This window comes from Homo sapiens, chromosome 17 (assembly GCF_000001405.40).
Source record: "Homo sapiens chromosome 17, GRCh38.p14 Primary Assembly".
Lineage (NCBI taxonomy): Eukaryota > Metazoa > Chordata > Mammalia > Primates > Hominidae > Homo > Homo sapiens.
In genome coordinates, this window is record NC_000017.11 from 11,708,743 (window position 1) to 11,735,000 (window position 26,258).

General features: G+C 42.1%; 1 protein-coding gene across 6 annotated transcripts in view; it reads left to right on the forward strand.

The window, feature by feature from the left end:
• Window positions 1-26,258, forward strand: part of DNAH9 (dynein axonemal heavy chain 9) — a 371,279-nt gene that overhangs the window by 110,273 nt on the left and 234,748 nt on the right. For all 6 annotated transcript variants that reach the window (XM_011523703.3, NM_001372.4, XM_017024292.3 and 3 more), the window contains 2 exons: window positions 10,592-10,748; window positions 19,076-19,180. In XM_011523703.3, coding sequence (XP_011522005.1) covers window positions 10,592-10,748; window positions 19,076-19,180 — 262 coding nt within the window. The remainder of the gene's footprint in view (window positions 1-10,591; window positions 10,749-19,075; window positions 19,181-26,258) is intronic.

Below are 26,258 nucleotides of genomic sequence, written 5' to 3' on the forward strand. Positions count from 1 at the left end.
CTAATAGTTTGGGAGTTTATACCACTTGGGACAGAATAATGAAGCCATTATGTATTTGGGCAATTTGATAAATCTATCCCCCGCTCTAGACTGTATGTTCCGAGATAACATTGACCTTCATTTCTTCTCTACTCCCAGGACCTAGCACTGTGTCTAGCACACAATGGGCACTCAAGAAATACTCCTTGAGTGAATGCAATGAAATGATTCCTGAGCCTCTAGATAGGGATGTGCCCGGCCTTCAGAATATTTCCATCCTTTCCACCAACATATCAGACATTATCATTCCAAGTGATAAAAAGTACAAGATTTGTCTTTTCCCTGGGCCTTCGCAGTCGCCCAGGAATTGAAGATAATTACCTCTTTTGGATTTAGAGGTCTCTAGTATACTAGTGCTGAATACCTTATAGAGGGAAAGGGTAAAGTTTCGACAATGCATTATTTCTGAAATAGGGATTTATGGCCTCTACTGTGAAATGATGCAAATAAGAACTTGAAAGGAAGGTTAGCTAAAATAATGGTGAATACTATACAGACCTTCACCTTGTTTGCGCATTAGTTGCTTTTCTGACAAAGTAGTATGTAGCTGAATACTTATATGGCAAATTGCATTTTCTCATTGACTTCCATTATTATCTCAAGAAATGTTTTTTGCACAGAAAAAAATTGGCCTCAACATAGAAAATCACATTTTAAAAAGCATTCAGCTTTTACTGGTGTGTAGCCTAAGTACATTTAATTCTCTCCTGCCCGAAGAATTAATCAAATGGACAATTGATCCATACAACCTTTGCACATTCATTAAAAGCTCACCCGTTTTACAGTACATCCAAATGATTATGCCTGTTTCTTTGGAATTTCCCACTGCCTGGATGGGACTTGAATATATAAATAGGTGCGATGGTTCAGTCCTTGTCACAGGATTTCGGCACCACACTAAGTTGAAGAACTAAATGGAAATGTTTTTTCAGGCTGAACAAAAGCAATTCTCATAAGTCGTTTCTCGACCTTTGGATGATCTCCTCCTGCTTTGCTCCCCTTCCTTCACCTTCACACACAAATGCACCTTTCTGCCCTGTGCTGTGTTAAGTACTGTTTTAATCAACTGCTTATCAATGTTGAGTACCCCTTAATTTCTCAGGAACTCCTGCAAGTAGGTGAAATATAATTGATGCAAGAGTCTTTCAAGGTGATTTTCTGGGCAAGGACACAGCTAGCAAAAGTCGTATGCTCTCTCTTTAAGTTTTTCTCTCATGTTTTTGCTGGAGAAAATTTGGAAAGGTTAGTATTCTGTACAAAAGAAAATAAAAGTCACCCATAGATAGCCATTGTTAATATGTAGTTTGTTTCATTCTACATGTAGAATGTTGAAAACTGAAACTGAGATCATATCTTATATATAAAACTTCATAGATTGCTTGTTTTATTTAACATTATATTATGTATATTCTCTAAATATTTTTCTAAAACACTCTAATGGCTGAATTATAGTCTATTTATAAGTATCCCATAATTTATGTAACATAACCATATTATGGGTTATTTAAGTTACATCTAAGCTTTCACTATTAAAAATAAAGCTGTATGAACTCACTTATATGTACAATTTTAAGCAAAAATTTTGTATTTTTCCTTAGGATAGATTCCAAGAAGCAGAATAATTAGATGACACATACTTTCAAATCGTTCGTGAAAAACTGTTATTCCTACTCTCACTAGTAGTTTATTAAAGTATTAATTGCACAACACCCTGACTAGCATTAAGTATTACTGTTACTTTATTACTTTTATTATTCAAAATTGTATCAAGTTTGGATTTGGATGTCATTAATTGCTCATAGGTTGAACATTTTTATGTGTTTATTAGCTATTAGATTTTCTTCTCCTGTTAATTATTTACTACTGTTATTGCCCGTTTTTCTCTGGGATATTCTTTTATCACTTCTGTGGTTAGAAAATCCATGTTTATTTTAAGATCAATTTAATATTGCACTATATTTCATTCTAGCCTAGTTTATTTTAATTTTTCCTTTAACCTGTTTTAATCATTTAGGAAATCTTTTGATTACTGAGTAAAGTGAGTCAAAACATTTTTGTGAAAACATTTTCAGTTACCAGTGATAGAAGTGGCCGAAAAAAGACTTATCTCACACATCTGGAAAATGAGTCCAGCTTGCTGCAGTAATAACCAGCTCTGGGACCTAAACTAGGAGATATCAGGGTTTAAACTCTCTCATATATCATGACTTTGCTTCTTCTGAATGTTGACTTATTTCTTGCACAGGCTGGAAAGATGGTCTCTATGCCTATGCCTTTATAACTTCTCACTCAGAAGGAAGATAGACCCTCTCTTGCCTGGCAGGTATAGCAGATTCCTTGAGGGAGGTCTCTGATTGGTCCTATTTGGATCATGTGCCCATCTCTGAGCCAGTCGCTGCAGCCAATGAGATTGAGTATTTTGCCCATCCTGAGCCTCGTCCCCCAGCCCCAAGGATAGGAAAGGTATGATTGACAGCCCATCAGAATACAAGCTGTGGAGGAGAGATGGCTCTCCAAAGGGTGATATTCTGGGCAAAGAAATCCCACAGGAATGACAGTGGGGAGTATATAATGTTATTTCTTTTGTTTTCAAAGTGACTAGTGGGCTTAATGTTTTTTGGTGAGTAATCAGTTCTTCTTAATGATTTATGATGTTTGCTCTACCATATTTGAAGTTCTAAGTTCATCAGTCTACCTCAAAACTATGTATTCTGTTCCATCAGTCTATCAGTCCCTCTCTGTGCCACAGTATTTAAAGATGTTTGCTTTATCCTGAGTTGTAATATTTGTAGGGTAAAGCTCTGCATCATCTACCTTCATTTCCACTTTCTTTTTTTTAGCACTTCTGTTTCTTCTTTCAAATGACAAATTCAAAAATATAAACCACTGGGGTTTTTGATTGGCATGCCTTAATACTTTCAACTTCATTTGGAAGAAACAGCCATCTTTATAATATGTGGTATATTTCTGTTTATTCATATGTGCAATCATGTTTTTTGGAAAAGTTTATATTTTGGTTATTTCTGAATGTGATCTCTGGGTCTTTTTAAAGTTGTAGTTGCTATAGAAGATTTTGTTTTTATTATATATATTTGTATATATATTTATATATAAATATATATATTTGTATATATATTTATATATAAATATATATATTTGTATATATATTTATATATAAATATATATATTTGTATATATATTTATATATAAATATATATATTTGTATATATATTTATATATAAATATATATATTTATATATATTTATATATAAATATATATATTTGTATATATATAAATATATTTGTATATATATTTATATATAAATATATATATTTATATATAAATTTTAATTTATATAAATTTATTAATATTATTATTCAATAATAAATATATTAAATTTATAATATAAATTTAAATTTATATAATTTTAAAAACTCCCATATTTTTTAGGTTCACTCATGGCAGAGCATGTGTCTGTAGTTGGTTATTTTTTAATTTCTGAATAATATTCAATTTTATAGATATACCACATGCTCTTTATCCATTCAACCGATGGACACTTAGATGATTTTCAGCTGAGGCTGTTATAAACAATACCGCTCTGAATGTTTGTGTACAAGTCTTTGTGTGGACATGTTTTCATTGCTCTTAAGTGAATACTAGGAGGAAAATTGTTATGGTACTTTTATGTTTAACTTCTCGAGAAACTGATAAGCTGTTTTCTAAAGTGGCTGCACCATTTTACATTTACACCAACAACATGTGAGGATTCCCATTTCTCCACATCCTTGACAATATTTACTATTGTCCGTTTTATTTCTTTATAGCCATTCTGGTGGCTGTTAAGTAATATGACATTTGGACTTTAATTCGCATTTTTCTAATGATTAATGATGTTGAGCAACTTTTCACATGCTTGTTAGCCATTCATGCATCTTCTTTAGTGTAATAATTGCCCATATCTTTTGCCTATTGTTTGGTCTGTCTTCTTATTATTGAGTTTGAGAATTCTTTGTATATTCTGGATATGTTGCAAATGTGTTTGCAGATATTTTGTCCCAGTCTTTGCTCATTTTTTTTTTCTTAAAAAGCTTTAAGAAAAAAAATGAGTTATTTAAAAAAAAAAACTTTTATTTTAGGTTTTGGGGTACCTGTAAAGGTTTGTTACAGAGGTAAACTCATGACATGGGGGTTCGTGGTACAGATTATTTCAACACCCAGGTATTAAGTCCAGTGCCCATTAGTTATCTTTTCTGCTCCTCTCCTTCCCTCACCCACCCCACCAAGTAGACTCTAGTATCTGTTGTTTCCTTCTTTGTGTTAATAAATTCTTATCATTTAGCTCCCACTTATAAGTGTGAACATGCGGTATTTGGTTTTCTGTTCCTGCATTAGTTTGCTAAGGATAATAGACTCCAACTCCATCCATGTTCCTGCAAAAGACATGATCTCTTTCTTTTTTATGGCTGCATAGTATTCGGCGGTGTATACGTACCGTATTTTCTTTATCAAATCTGTCATTAATGGACATTTAGGTTGATTCTCTGTCTTTGCTTTGTGAATAGTGCTGCAATGAACATATGCATGCATGTGTCTTTATGGCAGAATGATTTATATTCCTCTGGGTATATACCCAGTAATGGGATGGCTGGGTCAAATGGTAGTCCTGCTTTTAGCTCTTTGGGGAATCATCATACTGCTTTCCACAATGTTTGAGCTAATTTACACTCCCACCAAGAGTGTATAAGTGTTCCCTTTTCTCCTCAACCTCACCAGGTTAATGGTGTCTTTTGAAGTGCAAACGTTTTGAATTTTGATGAGGTTCAACTTATGAATTTTTATTTTATGGACCATGCATTTGGTGTTTTATTTAAGAAATCTTTGCCTAACTTCATTTTATCTTTAACTTTCTTTTCGCTTGTGTACAGGAGAAAAAATGATTTTTGTACAATATATTTATCTTCCATTCTACTCATTTACTACCCTGTATTACAAATTCTAAAAGTTTTACTCTTGATTTTCTTGGGTTTTCTAAATCACTCCTAGAATTTCTAATCATATTTGAGACAGACAAATAATGAGAAGTGTAATTATAACTACTCAAGTTTAGTTACTAGGCATGCTATAATTTTTGCTAGAGAGATGATATGGGTGGCGTTGCTCTCAGTTCTGTCACATTTTGAGAAAGACATTTACCAATTAGCATAGGCAAAGGAAAAGATGAGCACTGGATGATGAAGAATCTCATAACCAGTTGGTATAAGGAACAGATCCTAGAATTGGGGGCATTTATGCTAAGAACAAAAAATTTTCAAAGTTTAAATATTAAAGCGTTATCAAAGGAACGGATTTGTTTTAGGTTAGTGCAAAGGAAATTTCTATTAATGCGATTTCTCACGTTGAGCTTGAAACCTATTGAAAGCTCTGGGTCTTTTTCACATGGATTTTCATCTACCCACATCTCCTCCAGTCTGCATGTATCCAAATGGTTGGAAGATTACTTTACATTCATCCCTCTTAAATTGGATTTTGTTGGGTCTGTCCCATCATTTTTTCACTGTTAATATTATTTAGAAATTTGTTCTATCGTCTATCTAGTAATTATTTCTTAATTCAAGTTATGAGTGAAGACATTAAACATCAGTGAGCTGAGTATGCCTCGGGGCCTCCCTGAAGGTAGATACTGTTGCATTCATGGTCACTCCTCAGTTATGGTTATTGAACCATGTGGTAGACAGAATTCTACAAATGATCTCTAAGGACCCTCACCCTTCTATAGTCTCTTCCCTTTTGAGTGTGAGTAAAAACTGTGACTGTGATGATATTATTCCCATGGTTGTGTATTGTTATATGGCAAAGGAAAATTATTTAGGTAGACTTAATATAATTATATAAGCCCTTAAAAACAGAGCTTTCTCCTGGCTCCCCAGCCAGCAGAAGGGGAAGTCAGATTTGAGGCATGAGAAGAATTTGACATGCCATAGCTGGTTTTGAAGGTGGTAGGGGCTGTGTACAAGGTGGCAGAACAGCCTCTAGGAGCTGAGAGATCCCCTGGCCAACAGGGACCTCAGAAGTGAATTCTGCCAAGAACCTGAATGAGCTTGGAAGTAGACTCTACCCCAAAGCCTCCAGATAATAGTCCAGCCCAGCCAACACCTTGACTCTGGCCTTGTGAGACCCTCAGCAGAGAACGCACCTGGACTTCTGGCCCACAGAAGTGTGAGATAACGAGGGATGTTCTTTTAAGGCACTGAGTGCGTGGTAATTTGTTACACAGCAATAGAAAATTAATACAAGCCAACTATGACTCCACCTACTCTAGGATCATCTGGACCACTTTTCCGTGATAAGCACAGGCTATTCATAGCTGAAATCAAGATATAGCAGCTTTGATATTTGCTTTATCTTCCAGTTGAATATCTGTACCAAAAAAAGAATTTATTGCCTCAAAAATAATACCTTCAAAGTCTGTCGGTTTCCTACTTTTCAAGGCACTTTCAAATATCTTGTCTCATAGTATCCTCATAAGACCCTGGTGGGGCAGATAAGAACAAAACCTGTAGAAGTTATTTGCCCAAGGAAAGCAAGACTAATTTTAGTTCGATGTTAAGAAGACCTTTCAAACAATTAGAACCAGCCCACTGTGGAATGGGCTGCCTCCTAGAATAGTAAACTGTGCCTCACTGAAAGAAAAGACTATATGATCATATTTGAAGGATTTAAAGGGGGAGCACCTGACATGGTGAAAGAGTCAAACGGCCTCACCTTTAAAATCCCTTCCAACGCTAACGTTCCTGTGTTCCCACTGGAACCAAACTAAATCAATCCATATCCATGTTGGGACTCATCGGCCAGGATCTCTCTTCCTTAAGGATCTTTTGCCATTGTCATAATTGCCACTGCTTTTGAAGCAGCAAATTTATCTAAGTTTCTTTGTACAAAGAAAATGCAATGTCATGGATCTTAAGGATGCTTTTGTTTTTAAGGTACAAAGAAGTTTAAATAACTTGGCTGAGTCTCACGGACACTTCATAGTGAGGCAAGTTTCGAACTCATTTTGTCACTCCAGAGTCAGTGCCTGAAACAGCTCTACATGGTCTGCTGGCCCACACTCGCAAGCAGGAGCACATCAGAGGAGCTGATTTGGGTGTTTGAAGAGATGAGCGCTCTAACAGGACCTCAGAGAGAATCCTAGAGCAGGGATATGTCCCAAAGGACTTGCTGCTGGCTCAGTGGCCCAGGCGTCATGGCAGCCTCCCTTGTGACAAACAGAAATACTGCCTCTTTCTTTTTCTTTCTCTTTTTTTTTTTTTTTTTTTGAGATGAAGTCTCACCTTGTCACCCAGGCTGGAATGCAGTGGTGCCATCTCAGCTCACTGCAACCTCTGCCTCCCGGGTTTAAGCAATTCTCTGGCCTCAGCCACCCGAGTACCTGGGATTACAGGTGCGTGCCACCATGCCCAGCTAATTTTGTATTTTCAGTAAAGACGGTTTCACCATGTTGACCAGGCTGGTCTCGAACTCCTGACCTCAGGTAATCTCCCTGCCTCGGCCTCCCAAAGTGCTAGGATTACAGGCGTGAGCCACCGTGCCCGGCCCTGTCTTTCTTTTTTGCGTTTTTTTTCATGGCCTGAGGGAAAGCCCCACTGACCCTGCCTTCAAACTCACCAGACTGTCCACTTTCCCTCCCTGAACCCCAGTCTCCCCATATGTAAAATAGGGAGATTAGAAATCCCTTCCATCTCTGGAGTTCTGTTCTTGTGAGGGGAAGACAATGATATTTTGACATTTCCCCCAAAAGATAATCAGAAGCTCAGCAGATGCTCAAAAAGAGATGGACCCAGTCCCATGTATTTATTTTCAGGAACTCTTAACTTTTTCTATGCAACTTCTCTTTTTGTGAAACCTGGCATTTCTGGACTCCCAAATTCCTGAGAGCCCTGCAGCTCCAGAGAAAAGAGGCCTGTGATGCACCCTCAGCCGGCAGAGGGGACAGCTATGGGACAGAAAGGCAATGAGAGGGAAGGAAGGTGATGAGGTGAGTTGTCAGGGATTGAAGACTCTGCTAGTTCAGACAGCTTGTCCTCCTGGGAGGCAGGGGGCCATGGCAGGCCCTGAGCAGTTGTAGAGGAAGCCCAAGGCTGGGAGAGATAGCAGGCATGGGATCCACCTGGAGCCAGAAACTCAAGAGCCCAGGAGGGCAGGTTCAGGTGAGGCCACGCATAGGGCTCCATGAATATCTAGCTGGAAATGCTTGAGAGAGAAGAGAAGTGTTACCAAATGGTAACAGTGGCCAAGAAGGACAAGACGAGACCCAACTTTTCACCCTAACCCTGACTCACCTCATCATGCCTTGTGGCAGGTCTGAAGGGCAACATTCAGCCTTTCAAAGGCTGAAACAGATAAGGGAATTTTGCACTTAATTGAAGGAGAAAAAGGGAACTTAAAGACTTTCAAAACCATCTGGGAGCTGAGCACAATGGCTCACACCTATAATCTCAGCACTTTGGGAGGCTGAGGTGGGTGGATCACTTGAGCCCTGGAGTTCGAAACTAGCCTGAGCAACATAGTGAGACCCCGTCTCTATTTTTTAAAGGGAAAAGGAAAAAAAAAAAAACATTTCGGTCCAAGGTTTAGTCAAGTCAGTAGAAACCCAGCCACCATCTGACATAAAGATGGTGTCTTCAGAGTCTCAGAGTCTCTGGTCATCTCATAATATCAGATTCAGAAACAAAGAGAATTAATTTTGGACACCCCCTCACATGGCCCCGCCTGGAAGTTGAGAGTCTATGTATTGATTTGCTAGATATTAAAAAGTTAGAACAGTGGCACAATTGTATCAGCTTTATTGAGGTATTGAGGCATAAATTACATGCCTTAAAGTTCACCCATTGCAGGTGTACAATGTACAACTGGATGATTTTTAGTAAATAGACAGAGTTGTGTAACCATCACTATCATCCAACTGTAGAGCATTTCCTTCACCCTTTTTGCAATAATTTCCTTCTCTCACTCCAAACCTCAGGCAGCCGCTGATCTGCTGGCTATCTCAGTTTGTCTTTTCTGGACATTTCATATCAATGGAATGACAACATATAATCTCTTTTTTGAGACAGGGTTTCACTGTGTCACCCAGGCTGGAGTACAATGACATGATCTCAGCTGACTGCAACCTCCTCCTCCCAGGCTCAAACAATCATTCCACCTCAGCCCACCAAGTAGCTGGAATTACAGGCGCACTACACCACACCCATCTCATTTGTGTGTGTGTGTGTGTAGATATGGGGTTTTGCTATGTTGCCCAGGCTAGTCTCAAACTCCTGGGCTCAAGCTATCCATCTGCCTTGGCCTCCCAAAGTGCTGGGATTACAGATGTGAGCCACTACACCCGGCCTGACAACATACAAACTCCCGTATCTGGCTTCTTTCACTTAGCATAATGTTTTTGAGGTTCGTCCATCCTGTAGCATGTTTGGTACTTCATTCCTTTATATTGCTGAAGAGTATTACACTCTACGAATTACCACATTTTGCTTATCCATTCACTGTTGATAGATATTTGGGTTGTTTCTAGCTTTTTGCTGTTATGAATACTGTTGCTATGAACAAGGGCTACGAACAGGTAGATATTGTGCTACGCACAAGTCTTTGTGTAAACATGTATTCTTATTTATCCTGTGTAAATTCCTAGGAGGGGAGTTGCTGAATCATATGGTATGCTTTATTACTTTTTAAGAAATATAAGTCCTTTTTAATAGTACCAGAAGTAAGCTTAAAGCTGAGTTTATTTTATTGTTACTGGTAAAAAGAGTCCCAAAAGGATTAAATGGATTGAATGTGATCCATTCATTCACAGATTCATTTGTGTTTTATAAATAGTTTTTGAGGGCCTGTATGTGCCTAGAGTGTGCTAAGTTCTGGAGATTAAACAATGAATAAGATATAGCCCTACCTTCATGAACCCTATGAAGATATATACTGAAGATATATACAACATATGTCACAGGAAGTTCAAGTGGAGTACTAGCTCAGCTGAGGGAGCCTCTGCTCACTCACCCCAGTGTTGGGGGATCCAGGAACACTTAGTAGGTGAAGTCAAATGTGAGTCCTGAGGAATTAGTGGCCATTAGCCAGGCAAAGATTAAAGAGGAACATCATCCAGGTCGACTTAAAGAGTTGGGGGATGATTGGGGGAGGATCAGGGACAAGCTCAGTCCTAGTGTGTCTGGCAGATGAACGGAGCTCTATATGGCTGGACTGCAGAGGTTTGCAGCTTCAGAGGAGGGGAACAGTGAGAAACAGAGCTGGAGGAGCAAGCAGACCCAGAAGAAGAACCTGTCAGGGAGCCTCTGATGCCCTGCATGGAGGGAGCACTGTGATGAGCTTGCCCGCTAAAGAGTCCTCCCCACAGTGCTGTGGGGAGCGGGAAAAAGGGGCAGGGCTCTTGGCTTTCTTTTCAGAAGCTATGCCAGATCTCACATGGCCTTGAGCCTTAGTCCTATCTCACTGGGCCCCCAAGAATGATGACCTATGCCCTCCCGTGTTTGGCAGGTGCTACATCACCCTCACCCAGTCCCTGCACCTGACCATGAGTGGGGCTCCCGCAGGACCTGCAGGCACAGGCAAGACCGAGACCACCAAGGACCTGGGCCGCGCACTGGGCATCCTGGTCTATGTGTTCAACTGCTCGGAGCAGATGGATTACAAGGTACAGTTCCACCCGGCTTCCTGGGGGTGGGGGTGGGGGATAGGAACTCAGGGCACCAAATCAAGGCTAAGACGCATCCGTGCCACCCTGACCCAGCTTCCCCAGGTCTCGGAGCCCAGATCAGGAGGTCTCAGTTTGCTCCTTCGTGGTAAAGTTGGACGTTTGAACCCTGGAGTTTTTTGGCCTCCCTATAAGGCTTTCATGTGATGAGGAAGCACAGCCCTTTGTATTCTCATTCCACCAATGAGCTCTGACCACAGATGGCTGACTTCATCTTTTTGGATCTTTCTTTTATTACCTGCAAAATGAAGAAACTGAACATATATCCAAAGTCCTAATTTCCCTATTTGACCTAGAAACACAGAAAGGCTCACAAGTAGCCAAGATGAAGGCACTTGTCTTCACATAAAAGCTTGACGTATTTGTGCTCTTCTGTAGAAGTGGACATTCCCCAGAATATCAACAGGGGCAGAATATTCTGCAAGGGCAGGCGTGATTTCTGAAAGCAGGCTAATCAACCCCGACTCAGAGCACAGACGCCCACAGAAGACAAGTGCAAAGCTAATATTCATTCAGGCACGTACAATTTTTTAAGAACCAATGTGTTCCAGGTTCTGAGTCACCGAGAAAAGCCAGAGAAACAAAAGGCCCATGAGGTCACTTCTTTAGCTAGAAATATTCTGCTCACAACTGAACCTTATATAGCTTCTTTTTTTCTTTTTTTTCTTTGTGAGAACTATTTTCCAATTTTTCTTTTTTTTTCTTTTTTTAATTATACTTTAAGTTCTAGGGTACATGTGCACAACGTGCAGGTTTGTTACATATGTATACATGTGCCATGTTGGTGTGCTGCACCCATTAACTCATCATTTATATTAGTTGTATCTCCTAATGCTATCCCTCCCCGCTTCCCCCACCCCACGACAGGCCCTGGTAAAACAAAAATGTAATAACAGATTATCTCCCTCTCTCGTTATTTTTGTTATATTGTATGTGTTTTTGTAAACTGCCTTAAGTCCCTTTTGTCAGCAGGATGACATGCAAATAAATTTGCAGTGAAAAAAAGTTGCATTAAATAGATTAAACATTTATATATAAAAGTCATGTGCTATATTGACTGTAAAATAAATTTAATGTAGTTATAATTTTAGAAATAATGCTTGCCGTTACCACGTATAGCACTCTGTAAATGAGATTCATCCTCTATAATTTAATCATTTCTGTAGCATGATTTTGTTGTGTAGAGTTGCAGCGTCCTGTAGCACCATGTTTTCTCGTGTTAAGTAAACAAAGCAAGGATCTAGACCCAAAAAACTTGTCTTCCACGTGGTCTTCATCCCCTAAATTTTAGCACAGTTGCTTTTATTGATGAACACATTAAGATAATGTTTCTCTTTAAGTCAGGCTGGAACAGAAAGGTGGAGTTTTCTCCCCCCTTTATAGAAATGACCTCAGCCTTAGGGATAATTTTATGTTCTAGATTTTTCTATAGTTGAGCAATGGCAGCAGCACTGCCAAAGTAAGTAGAGTCTCCCAAAGGGAACATTGTGAAAGAAACACTCATTTGGATGTAGAAGACGTGGTGTATTGATTGAAGAAAATCAGCCAGATTTCTTCAAAGTCATACCTAGAATAGCAAGCAGGAAATGGTGAGTTGGCTAGGGGTCACTATGGCCATTTTACTCAATTCTATCAAAACCAATCACTGAACCCTAACCCCACCAATTTTGTTAAAAGTACAGGGTGAACGGGGGAGTCTATCTTTGTTTTTTTTGTTTGTTTTTTTGTTTTGTTTTTTGTTTTTGTTTTTGTTTGTTTGTTTTTCAACTATAGGCTAAGCTTCCATGGAATACAGGCTAGACACAGGTTAGAACATCATAAATAAGCATAGCCACAGTGAAACATGCCAGAAGGGAGGTGCTCCCTTCCTGGACACCAAATATCCCAGGTAACCAAACAGCCCCACTAAGCTGTTTGCAAACTTCCTCTACCTTTGTTTTCTGGCTGTTCAGAATTATTTTTTATGGTAAAACACTCGCAATCCAATTAATTTATTGAGTATTGCCTTTCCTCAGCATGTGCTGAGCATTGTGCAGGATGCCAAAAACAGATCATATGGGGAGAGAGAGGGAGAGAGAGAGAGAGAGATGGATGGAGGATAGATGGTAGATGGATTTTAGGTAGATAAATGATAGATGAATGATTGATGAGAGAGAGAAAGAGAGAGATAGTATAACCCGATTTTATTTGGAGGGACAAAGGATATATGATATCATCAGGGGAGCTAGTTAACACTCAGATAGCATAACCCTGGGTGCTCATGTGCCCTACAAACTTTAGGCCCTGGAATATTCCAGAGTAGGGGGAGAGCCACAGAGTGGGCTGGTCAGGAAAGACATGTGGAGGACGTGATACCCAACCAAGGCTCAGTTTTGGGGTTGGTGACAGAGAGAGCATGTGGCATTTTCACACATTCTAACCCATTAGAATGTCAGCTTTAAAGCCATGACCAAGTTCTATGTGTGGCCAATATCTGTCCCCAGCCCTCATTCTGACTTCACCCCATGAGCCCTCCTCACAGGACCCGGCTGGGAGAGGAGAAAAAGGGTGCGAGGTCAGGAAGAGCTGCTGTGCACTTCTCCAGGGGAGATTTCGATGTGTCATTCATGACACTCACAGCAATATACTCTGTTCAGGTCTGTCCATAGTGAAAGCTAGAAATAAATGCGGAACAAGGGCTAAGCTACCTTACAGAGGATCAAAAACAGGAGATAAGGAGGGGAAGGACTGAAAGCCACTGAAAGCATCTCACCTTGAAGTGGGGGATGCAGAAAGGAACTGCAGGCTTCGGAACTGGAGCAAAAGCATAAAGATTGGAAGTCAGACGAAATGAGAAAGGAAGAGACTGGAAGCAGGAATAGGTTTTGGTGAGAGCATCTCAGTCATTCAAACCAGAGGGAATGAGGAACCAGCTGATGTGGTAGTAGACATGGAAAAGCATAAGAGGCTTAAAATATAACAAGGTAAGTGATATCTCGGGAATATGGGCAGGCAGTCAGTGGTGAAGCAAAGGGAGAGGTTGAAGAGGAGAGTCTAGGCTGTGGTCAAGCGCCCTTGCTATCCCCTCTGCCTTAGAAATCCTATAAGCCGCATCACCTCAGTTAGCTCATGAGGACTGGGTGTGCATTGAGCTGGGGAGGACAGGAGAACAGCGCAAAGACTTGAAGCAAAGGTAAAGTTATTGCTTTACTCTCTTATCCTGGATGGAAAACCTATAAAACCAGCCACTTTCTCTGAAAATGACTGCAGTTTCAGTGCTGAAACATCCTTTATATTATAGCTGTAATACTTTCCCCTCTTGACCTCAATTTGGAGATGCTATTGCAGGGACATCAAATGGTTCCAAACCTGAAAGTGTTTGGAATTATTTCCAACCCTCTCTGTAGCAGCCATATTGTGGATACTACACTTTTCCTTGAGACCCTACTCCCTTCACTTCGGAAATGCTATACTTGCACAGTCCTCCTCCTGAGTCTCTGGTCTCCTGGCTCCTCGGTCTCATTTGCTGATCCTCTTTTATAATTTCCAGTGTGATGTGTATACCTATGTCTCCTTTATGAAGCCATGTCTATTCTCCAGCTTCACCGGAGTCCTAGTCCCGTCTCTCTCTAATGGGGCAGTGGGCATCTCTTGAATGCCCTTCTCTTGCATTGTGGTTAGCACTCTTCCTTTCTCCCTGCCAGATTCCCCACCATCAGGAAGGATCATCTCATTTTCCCTGAGATCCTGGTGGAAAACTTCAGGAACCTGGGTTACTTCATGTCCTTCCTTCCCTACCTCTAATCGGTCACCAGTGTCGATTGTTCAGCACCCTTCTCACTTCCAGGCCTTTGCCCTATTCTTGCCATTCGCCTAGTCCCAAAGCTCACCATCCCACAGCAAGATAATGCCCCAGCCTCGCTGACAGGACCAGGAGATATGTGGTGAGCTAAACACATGGGTTACTTTAGGGTCCTGGGGTTCAGCCACAGGCCCTGGGGTGGGGGGGAGAAACATAGGGGTGACAAGCATCCACCTATGGAAACTCCACTTCCTTTATTTTATGTTTTGAGTTTTCATTTTATAAAAAGGGTCTGCAGTTTGAAAAGCTTTCAAAATCACTGTAAAAAATTGAATTTTTTTTTTCTTTTTTTTTGAGATGGAGTCTCGCTCTGTCCCCTAGGCTGGAGTGCAGTGGCACGATCTCAGCTCACTGCAAGCTCCACCTCCTGGGTTCACGTCATTCTCCTGCCTCAGCCTCCCGAGTAGCTTGGACTACAGGCGCCCGCCACCACGCCTGGCTAATTGGTTTTTTTTGTACTTTTAGTAGAGACGGTGTCTCACTGTGTTAGCCAGGATGGTCTGGATCTCCTGACCTTGTGATCCGCCCGCCTCAGCCTCCCAAAGTGCTGGGATTACAGGCGTGAGCCACTGTGCCCGGCTTGTTAAAAATTGAATTTTTAAAACATCTTTTTTATTGATACATCATAACTGTACATATTAATGGGGTACATGTTATATTTTGATGCACATATTATCAATAATATTTATCAATAATATCAATAATAATTATGAATATCATTATACATTGTAGTATAATGATCGAATCAGGGTAATTAGGATAACCATCATCCCAAAGATTTATTGTTTCTTTGTGTTGGGAACATTCCAAATCTCCTCTTCAGCTATTTTGAAATATAAAATAAATGATTAGTAATCATAGTCCCCTATTGTGCTGTTGAACACTATAACTTATTTCTTATGTCTAGCTGTATGTTTGTACCCATTAACCAACTTCTCTTCATTTTCTCCTTCCCAGCCTCTGGTAACCATCATTCTACTGTCTACCTCCATGAGATCAACTTTTTTAGCTCTCACATATGAATGACAGCATGTGATATTTGTCTTTCTGTGCCTGGCTTCTTTCACTTAAGATAATATCCTCCAGGTCCATCCCTGTTGCTGCAAATGACAGGATTTCATTCTTTTCAATGGCTGAACAATATTGCTTTGTGTGTATATACTACATTTTCTTTATGCATTCATCCATTGATGGACACTTAGGTTGATTCCATATCTTAACTATTGTGAATAAACATGGATGTTGATTTCTGAATTTCCACTTAGTATTTGTGACACTTGGATTGTTTTGCAAATGAAATGGAATAATGTAAGGCAGTGGTCCCCAACCTTTTTGGCATGAGGGACCAGTTTCATGGAAGACTATTTTTCCATGGACTGTGGTAGTGGGGGATGGTCTCGGGATGATTCAAGCACATTACATTTATTGTACACTTTATTTCGATTATTATTACATTGTAATATACAATGAAATAATTATACAACTCACCATCATGTAGAATCAGTGGGGGCCCTGGTCTTCTCTTCCTTCAACTAGTTGGTTCCAACTGGGGGTGATGGGAGACAGTGACAGATCATCAGGCATTAGATTCTCATAAGGATCACCCAGCCTAGATCCCTCACATGTGCAATTCACAATGGGGTTCATGCTCTCATGAGAATCCAGTGCTGCCACTGATCTGACAGGAGACAGAGCTCAGGCAATAATGCAGGTGATGGGAAGCAGCTGTCAATACAGATGAAGCTTTGCTTACTCACCTGCTGCTCACCTCCTGCTGTGCGGCCTGGTTCCTTAACAGACCATGGACAGTTGCCCAGAGGCTGGGGACCCCTGATTTAAGGTACACAAACACAACGCCTGGAACTTCCATCACCTCCTCAGACAGGATGTCCCTGACAGCTCAATCTGAAGTCTCCATGTCACCCTCATTTTAAGACTCCAGTGGGACTTTATCACTGTCTGATTTGTTATTGCTCATTGTCTGTTTTCCTTATGGGAATATGAGACCCATGAGAATAGAGGCATCGTCTATCTTGTTCACAGCTGATTCTTCATGACCTAGAACAATCTCTGGCACATAGTATATGCTCAATAAATATTTGTTGATATGAAAGTAAAAAGAAATCTCTTAATTCCAGAAGCTCAGTGAAAGGTGGGTTTTATTTTTCCCTTCTCCTTCAAAGTCTGCCCTACATCAGGACACAGTGGCTCACACCTGCAACTCAAACACTTTGGGAGGCCAAGGCAGGTGGATCACTTGAGGCCAGGAGTTCGAGACCAGCCTGGCCAACATGGTGAAACCCCGTCTCCACTAAACATACAAAAATTAGCTGGGCTTGGTGGTGCACGCCTGTAATCTTAGCTACTTGGGAGGCTGAGGCAGCAGAATTGCTTGAACCTGGGAGGCAGAGGTTGCAGTGAACTGAGATTGCGCCACTGCACTCCAGCCTGGGTGACAGAGCAAGACTCCATCTCAAAAAAACAAACAAAAAAAATTAAAGTCTGCCCTAATGTCCAACCTAGCCTATGTGGCAGTTAGACCAATCCTCTCATAACAATGCTCTGCTCATGTTCTCTGCTGCAAACCTCCAAAGATCCCTCATAGTAATTCAAGGCTTTTTACAACCATGACTTTATTTAGTAATTCAACTTTCCAATCAAAATGGCTCTGTCATTTTTCTCTGCACATATCATTATTCTGCTTGTATTTCTTCCATAATCTTCCTCCTCCTGGAAAGCCTTACCCCTTCCATTCTATCTATACAGATACTCCTATCCTATAAAGCCATCATTTCTTGTGTGTGTCCTAAAGCATGTAGTTTTCTGTGAGATCCCCATATCTTCTGACTCTAATCTTGTGACCTTTACACTATACCAATAATTGCCAGAGTGCATTCTGAGAAAATCAGGGGTTATGTGAAGGAAAAATAATCCTAGCCATGTAATGCAGTGAAACTAATGTTTTTGTTATAGGATTTCTCAGGGCCCTTAAACGCTAATACAAATTGTAAGTAGGCCAAAACGGGTTGAAGAATGTGTTTCCCAAATTTGCTTGACCAAAAAGCCCTTTCTTCGAAGAGCATCTTTCAGGCCTGTGGTTCCGCGGAATAAACTTTGTGAAGTACTGTTGTGCTGCCATCTGACTTTCACCTCTTTGGCAAAACTGATCACTCAGGAGCACTCTGACCCTCTCTTCTGTGAATATGACATTTGTGGTCTATATTATTCAATGGAACCACTACTGATGCAGTAATTTTCCTGTTTTTATGTATATACCTTATCTCCTCAACCTGACCAAAAGTTCTTAGACTGAGCTCCCCTATGTCCAGCACATGATCGGTGCACAGAGCTGATAGTCAAAAAATGCCCACTGAAGGCTGGGCATGGTGGCTTATGCCTGTCATCCCAGCACTTTGGGAGGCCAAGGCGGGTTGATTGCAAAGTCAGGAGTTTGAGACCAGCCCTGACCAACATGGTGAAACCCTGTCTCTACTAAAAATATAAAAATTAGCCAGGCATGGTGGTGCACGCCTGTAATCGCAGCTACTCGGGAGGCTGAGGCAGGAGAATCGCTTGAACCTGGGAGGTGGAGGTTGCAATGAGCCAAGATCGCACCACTGCACTCCAGCCTGGGCAACAGAGTGAGACTCCGTCTCAAAAAAAAAAAAAAAAAAAAAAAAAAAAAACCCGCTGAATAAATGAATGGGACTTTTCCATTATTTGCATTTCCCTGGCATTTTAATGACGTCTCCTTGCCAATGACCTTGTGAGTGTCTCCCAGGAACCTATCTTTTTGGTTGCCCCGTGACTTACCAGTTCATATTGAATGCCCAGGATGGTTTTTACTTTTAGGACAGAAATGCATTATTCCCTTGTAAATTCCTTCCCTGCTCTCATTTGAAAAGATTTACCTTTAGTTTGTGTGTATGTGTTTTTGTTTTTTGGTTTTGGTTTTTGTTTTTTTAACAGATGTTATCACCCCCTGTCTTTGTCTCCAGCTCCCTCACCACTCTGGAAAACCTGGGTGGTTGGGCATAAATTTAAAGATACAGACGTAAATTTTTCCATCAGTGCATGACAAAGGCTGGGTGGAAGGCTTTTTGTCTGTATAGCATAAGAAAAATCATCTTTTATTCATTTCCTGGGATTTTGAAAGCTACCGAATCAACAATAATGCAACCCTGATGACATTTTAAAGGGATTTTCATCCAAGTGTCTTGAAAAGGTTCTGTTTAATCCTGTGACTTCTGTTGACACCCCATAACCATCAAACATTTAATTGTTCTTGAAATTTTAATACAAGTTTCTGACCAGTGGTCTTTAGGGGGACTAGAAGTATCTATAATAAAGGGGATGGAGAATGGCTTCAACATGTATTGATAAGCCTGGCCCGTTGGTAATTTAATCTTTGTGCATTTTCTTGCAGTCTTGTGGCAACATCTACAAAGGCCTTGCTCAGACTGGTGCCTGGGGCTGCTTTGATGAGTTTAATCGAATCTCCGTGGAGGTCTTGTCAGTGGTGGCAGTGCAGGTAAGGGCCAGAAGTTGGTGGGAGCCTTGTGGTCTTCATATTGATTACTGCGGAAGTCTATGTCCTCTTGTTTTCTACCTCTCCTGAGCATCTACGTCCCTTTTTCCCTTGTCATTTCATGCCCCTTTCTCCATCCTCTAAAATCAGGCTCCAGGGAAGCTGTCCTCCAAAATGGGTATCCTTCTGTTACCCACCAAAGTAGAACCATTTACTGGCTTTGGGACTCTGTTTCGTTCTCTGTAAAATGGAGAGAAAGAATATCTGTCCTGCCTGCTTCATCTGGGCACAGAAACATGAAGATGGCAGAGCTCAGCTCCTCGGAAAGGCCATGTTCTTTGGTTATAAACCAAGGCTTAAATTTCAGTTATTTTATTTCCTATTGGAATCTTTGGGAAAGTTATTCCACCACGCTCAGCTTAATAAAGTGAGGAATATGGCATGAATCGTTTTTGAATGAAGTCGCTTCTGGGGTGAGATTTTATGTAAGCATGCCCCTTGTCTTTCAAGTCATCCAGAAAGCATTTATTAAACACCTACAACCTAGTAAGTGTTATGCAAAAGACAGGTGAAGTTTCCCAGTTGAATGGAATGTGATCTCTGACCTAAAAAAAAAAAAACAAAAAAAACTTGAGCTCTTGAGATAGACGTGAGTACTTTCAATGTTCTAGAGGTGACTTAAATTCTGACTGAGATGAGACTTCCAAATGCATTACATTGAAAAGATGGAGAGGATTTTGGATTTGGGTCAGGATCCCATGAACAATCGGAGCAGTAGGAGGGTGAAGGGGGGGAACGTTTGAATAAGCTTTTGTTGAAATTCTGTACCAGGCACTTTTCATACATCATCTTTCACATCATGAAAGATCTTTCACGTCTTTCCACCATGGCCCTACAAGCCACTATTCTCCCCATTATGTATGTGGAAAAGCTGAACATCAGAGGAGAACTGTATCTTGTCCATGGGTAGACTTTTGGAAAGTGGTAAGGTTGGTATGTGCACCCTGTGCCCCCACCAACACTGTCCAGGTGCAGATGTGGGCACTGATGTGGTGTCTAGTGGGTAAAATGCCAGAGGAGAAAATAAGGCCAGAGAGACAAGTTCGAACCCAATAGTAGCAGGCGGAAATGCCTTCCTCAGCAGGCATCAGAGAACCCCCAGAGACATCTGGGAGGGAGATTGCCCCTCTATTTGCCAGCAATATGAAGGAGGGGCTGAGCAGTAGGAAAACTGGTGGCTGAGGGCAAGTCAAGAGTCTCTCCCAAGGATTCTTACTGCAGCTGCACAGGCTCCATTCCCCCCAGGAACCCCATCTCCAAGATAAAGCACATCGTTTGCCAGCTTCTATTCCACATGCCTCCCTGCAGGCTGAGCACCCCCCTTCTCCTGCTAGGGGCGGCTGGTTTCAGAACCCCCATCCTGCCCTTAACAGAGCAAAGCAATCACAAGGGCACCATGTGATGATCAAAGCTGTGGCGAGGTGCTTGGGACAATTATGTGCCTGGTACTCCTAGTGTGTGCCGCACACCATATAATCAAAAATGGTTTAATTTTGCTTGTGTTTGCTTTTATTTCCAAAGCAGTATGCGCACAGTACAGAAAAAGGAAAAATGTAGCTATGAGAGACTCTTTGGTCCCTACAGGTTTCTGTAATCCTTTCAGGTCCAGACAAAGGAATAAGGAAAGCGTTTAGCTTGACTGACATTTTTCTAAGGCAAGAGTGCGGGATTGAGGGGAGGGTGGCAGAAGGGGGGTGGGAGGAAACATCATGCAAAAGGTCATCCCTGGCGGGGAAAGATGACTGAGCCAGCATCATCCTTGTCCCCCTCTGCCCTGGCAGGAGCCAGCTTCCATCCACATAGGTCTCACATGTGGTCACCTCTCATCCCATACCTTTTCACAGGTAGGTGTGGACGTGGGGCTGTGGGTGGGGCACTGAAGCAAACGCAAAGCTGAACAGCAGTAGGGCTCAGACCATCCGCAAATCCATGCCACCTTCATCTCCAGCTGCCCTGAAAGCCACAGGCAGTCAAGACACTCTGCTGGGTCCCTTCACTCACCACTGCTCCAAGGTGGCCTGTCTTTCCATCTCTTGTGTTTGACAGCCACTGACTCTTGTCCAAACTGTTCCTTGATGAAGCTCTGAAAGTTGCCAGAACGTGAGGCTCTTCCCTGGTTTCCAGTGGTGAAATATGGTTTTTCCCTTTTTTTGGGTTTGTTCTGTTCAGCAGCAGTTAGTAGAGGAAGGAAGACAAATGGCTAGCCTGGACACTCTTGGACTGAAACCCTTGACCAGCTTGGCTTGAAAGAGCTGGTTGTGTGCATGTCAGTGGCATTGCATGAGTGTAGCTTGAAATGGGCTATGGTGAGAGTCCTTCCATCATGAAAGCTGCCAAATTCTACAAATCAAGGGCGTTTTTGCTCTCCTGGAGAGCTGGTTGTTAAAAATTTACCAGCACACCTCTGCCTTGTAAGGATGTAAGCTGAGTGTTGCCAGATCTTTTACGTTTTAAAGAGAGACCGGACATCCAGATTTTTATAAGAAATCAAATATGTTTCCTGGCTGCTTTCACCTTTGGCTGGTCACTTCACAACCTGGAATAAGGAATAATGCCAGTGTTCAATGCTGTCTCAGCCACTTACTAGCTGTGTGACCTTGAGCATATCCATGTCTCAAGGTCCACATCTGTAAAGGGAGTTAATAATAGCACCTCCTTGAGGCAGTTGTAATAATTTTTAAATGAGTTATATCTCTAAAGCACTGTTTTTTAAAGCCCTGCAGAGAATAGTCACTCAATAAATGCTTTGTTGATGATGATAATGGTGGTGGTGATGTTAGTGATGATGATGATGATGATGTTAATGGTGATGATGGTAGTGGTGATGGTGATAATTATGCTAATGATGGTGATGCTGATGATGATGATGGCGGTGGTAGTGGTGGTGATGATTCTAATGATGATGATGATGGAGATGATAATGGTGATGGTGGTAATGATGATGGTGGTGGTGGTGATGACGGTGATGATGATGATGGTGGTGGTGATGATGGTGATGATGATGGAGATGATAATGGTGATGGTGGTAATGATGATGGTGGTGATGATGATGGTGGTGTCAGTGATGATGGTGATGGTGATGATGATGGTGATGATAGTGATGATGATGGTGGGGGTGATGGTGGTCATGATGGTGGTGGCAGTGATGACGTTGATAATGACAGTGATGATGATGGCAGTGATTATAATGTTAACAATGATGGTGATGATGGTGGTTATTATGGTGAGAATGATGGGGATGGTGGTGGCAATGATGGTGATGGTGGTGATGATAGTGATAATGATGGTTGTGATAGTGATGAGGATGATTACCATCATTATTATCTGAACACTGCAGGAAATGGGTTGAAGAGAAGTAGAAGCCGGGATACACAGGGTAGGGAAAAAGGGTTCACATCCTGGTCTCACAGGTCTTCTCTTTTTTTTTTTAAATTATACTTTAAGTTTTAGGGTACATGTGCACAACGTGTGCAGGTTTGTTACATATGTATACATGTGCCATGTTGGTGTGCTGCACCCATTAACTCGTCATTTACATTAGGTATATCTCCTAATGCTATCCCTCCCCCCTCCCCCCACCCAACAACAGGCCCCAGTGTGTGATGTTCCCCTTCCTATGTCCATGTGTTCTCTTTGTTCAATTCCCACCTATGAGTGAGAACATGCGGTGTTTGGTTTTTTGTCCTTGTGATAGTTTGCTGAGAATGATTGTTTCCAGCTTCATCCATGTCCCTGCAAAGGACATGAACTCATCATTTTTTATGGCTACGTAGTATTCCATGGTGTATATGTGCCACATTTTCTTAATCCAGTCTATCATTGTTGGACATTTGGGTTGGTTCCAAGTCTTCGCTATTGTGAATAGTGCCGCAATAAACATACATGTGCATGTGTCTTTATAGCAGCATGATTTATAATCCTTTGGGTATATACCCAGTAATGGGATGGCGGGTCAAATGGTATTTCTAGTTCTAGATCCCTAAGGAATCTCCACATTGACTTCCACAATGGTTGAACTAGTTTACAGTTCTCACAGGTCTTCTCTATGCCCTTCACTCCTTCTGAGCTGGACCAACCTCGAGCTATCTTATCAAGCTTAACAATGTACTAATCAATGAGGCAGTGCCCAACAGCCATTGTTGCCCCTGGATAGTAGATAGACACTGAATTTGCTTTATTTTGAAGCTGCGCAACACAAGGTCAGCAATGCATTCTCTAAGATCACTTAGTTCCTGTTTGTTTCTGGAATCAAATGAAATAAGTTTAACTGGGGGGTCCCTGATACTGTCACACTCTGATCTAGGAATATACCCATCAGAGACATTTCTCAAGAAAGTGGTCTGACAACAGCCCAGGCAAAATCTGAGCGGGTAACATTTGAAATCGAATACCCATCCAAGGAGAAAATTGCACCTAATTATTCACACGGCAATCCAGGCTGGCATATTGGTTCAGAAGCCACACCAGCTGCTGACAGTTCTCCACCACCCTCCCCTCTCCTCCTCTCCACTGCTTGTCCGTCTGTGCTCCTCTTCCCAGTAACTCCTACAGAAGCGATTATGCTGCTGGTCCACAGCATCTTTGTCAGTGGACATTCTCATGTCTCCATGAGACTGGTCAAGCAAAGTCACATAGCCACTTGGGAAAAACACCAGTGTGTCAATTCCAAAAAAAAATTACTCTGCTGTTTAAAAAATGTCTAAGATATTACTTACTTTTTTCTGGAATATCTTCTTTACTATTGCAATCAGCTGTCTATGCTTTGGGTTATCTGCGCCCGGGGACATGTGCCACGAGGACACAACCCAATGCCCTGTTCCCCTCCATGCCCTGTGGCCAGGCCTTCCTGGCACTTTCTTCTCTTCCCTGCATTACAAGCCCCAATAATGGGTTGGGCAGAGGCAGGAAGCAAGTAGAAGCAGAAGATCAGTCAGCAAAGACTTGGGGGCCCACCATAGCAGGGCTCCAAGTACTCCAGGCACCAAACAAATGCTCCAGTCTCAGAGCCGAGGGAGCTTCCCATGTAACACCCTTTAAAGAGAAGCTTAAAGTCTAATGGGAAAAAAACCCAGAAATGTTAAAATGTTTAAAAAGTGGTGAGTGGGTTGCATTTCCCGAAGGCAACAGACTTCAATCTGCCATTGCAGTGGGAAGCGTGGAGCGGGCCAGGGAGGATGTTAAATAGCACATGGCATTTGGGGCAAAGACTTGAAAAGAGAATGACCACAGGGGACCACAAAATGAGCCACTCTCCTAGAATAGAAGGGCCAAGGTAGAGGGGTGACGAGAAAAAGCCAAGATCCCAGTAGCATAGGGCTAGCCCATGACCTCCTTAAAGTATGTCACCTGCACAGAGACAGCATGGCCTTAATACTTCACTGAGTGAGTCAGACACAAGGCCCTAGCCTGAGTGGGAGGATACAGGGACAGAACCCTCTGTGATCAGCAGCTTCCAGTCATGAGGGGAAAGATGTCATCCTCATGCAAGAAATGCAGCTCTTATGGTCAGACGGGCACACAAGGCTTGTGCAGATAACAAGGTTGACCACTGGACGTCAGGGCTGGCTTGCAATATATAGAAGTAAACCCTAGCCAGGTGCGGTGGCTCACGCCTGTAATCCCAGCACTTTGGGAGGCCGAGGTGGGCAGATCATGAGGTCAGGAGATTGACCTGGCTAACAACCTGGCTAACACAGTGAAACCCCGTCTCTACTAAAAAATACAAAAAATTAGCCAGGCATGGTGGTGGGAGCCTGTAGTCCCAGCTACTTGGGAGGCTGAGGCAGGGGAATGGCGGTGTGAACCCGGGAGGTGGAGCTTGCAGTGAGCCGAGATCGTGCCACTACACTCCAGCCTGGGCAACAGAGCAAGACTCCATCTCAAAAAAAAAAAAAAAAAAAGTAAAACCTGGGCAAATTATCCAAATGATAAGGCAGAAAATAAGTTCCATCAAAGATGTGCAATTGCAAGGACCATAGAGGCTGGAAAAAGACAGTAAAACCATCTGGCTGAGGGGCAATTGTGGGCCATGAAACTGGGATGGGGCAGCGTGGCCCAGTGGCAAGAACAGTTCACTGACTTTCAGGTAGGTGCCCTGAGAGTGACAGCAGAGGGTGCCAGGCATGGCTGGTGTCATGTAGCCCCACGCTATTCAAACTGTGAGCCAACAGCACCAGCATCCCCTGGGAGCTTGTTAGAAATGCAGAGTCTCAGGCCCCACCCCAGACCTGCTGAAACAGAATCTTCATGTTAACACACCCTCCAGTGATTACTACGCACAATAAAATCGGGGACTGTGCCGCTCTGGCACAGTCATCTCAACCCTGGCTGCACATTAGAATGGCCTGGGTAATTCTACAAAATAGTAATGCACAGTGTCCACCCCGAAAAGATGTTGATTTAATTCCTGCGGAATAGGACCAGTGTATCGGTACTTTCTAAAAACTTTCCACATGGTTCACACGTTCAGCAAATTTTGAGAACCAGAGCTGAGAGAGAGACTGAAAAATGAGGAAAACACCGCTGAGGACTGTAGAGTTTGGGTTCACATCAAGACCCCCAAGACTGAGGCCAGTTTGTCCCAGCCAGTGCTCTGCAGGGGCAAAGCCTCTCCAGGCCCGGTGGGGCAGAAGGAAGTGGGGGACCCAGGCTCATCTGAGAGAGGGAGAGAGGGGAACCTCTGGCCTTTTCCAGGACCCAGACTTTGTGAAGGCTTCCTGGACCCTGATCATTGTTAAGTCCCAGTGATTTGCTCTGCAGACTCAGTTGCTGCTAAATCCCATCCTGTACAAACCAGGCTAACCAAAATTTCTATGAGCACCGATGCTCCGAAGTTATCTACATCTTTGAGTCTGTTCAACACCCTCCCGTCTGAGAGAGGGAGGTCAGTATGCAGCTATGAATGGGGCCATGTGGGCAGAGGTAGGGATGAGTAGAAATGTAAGAATTGACTGGACTGCAGTGGTTCTCAAATTTCAGCGTGCATCAGAATCACCCGGAGGGCCTGTTCCGACGCACCTCA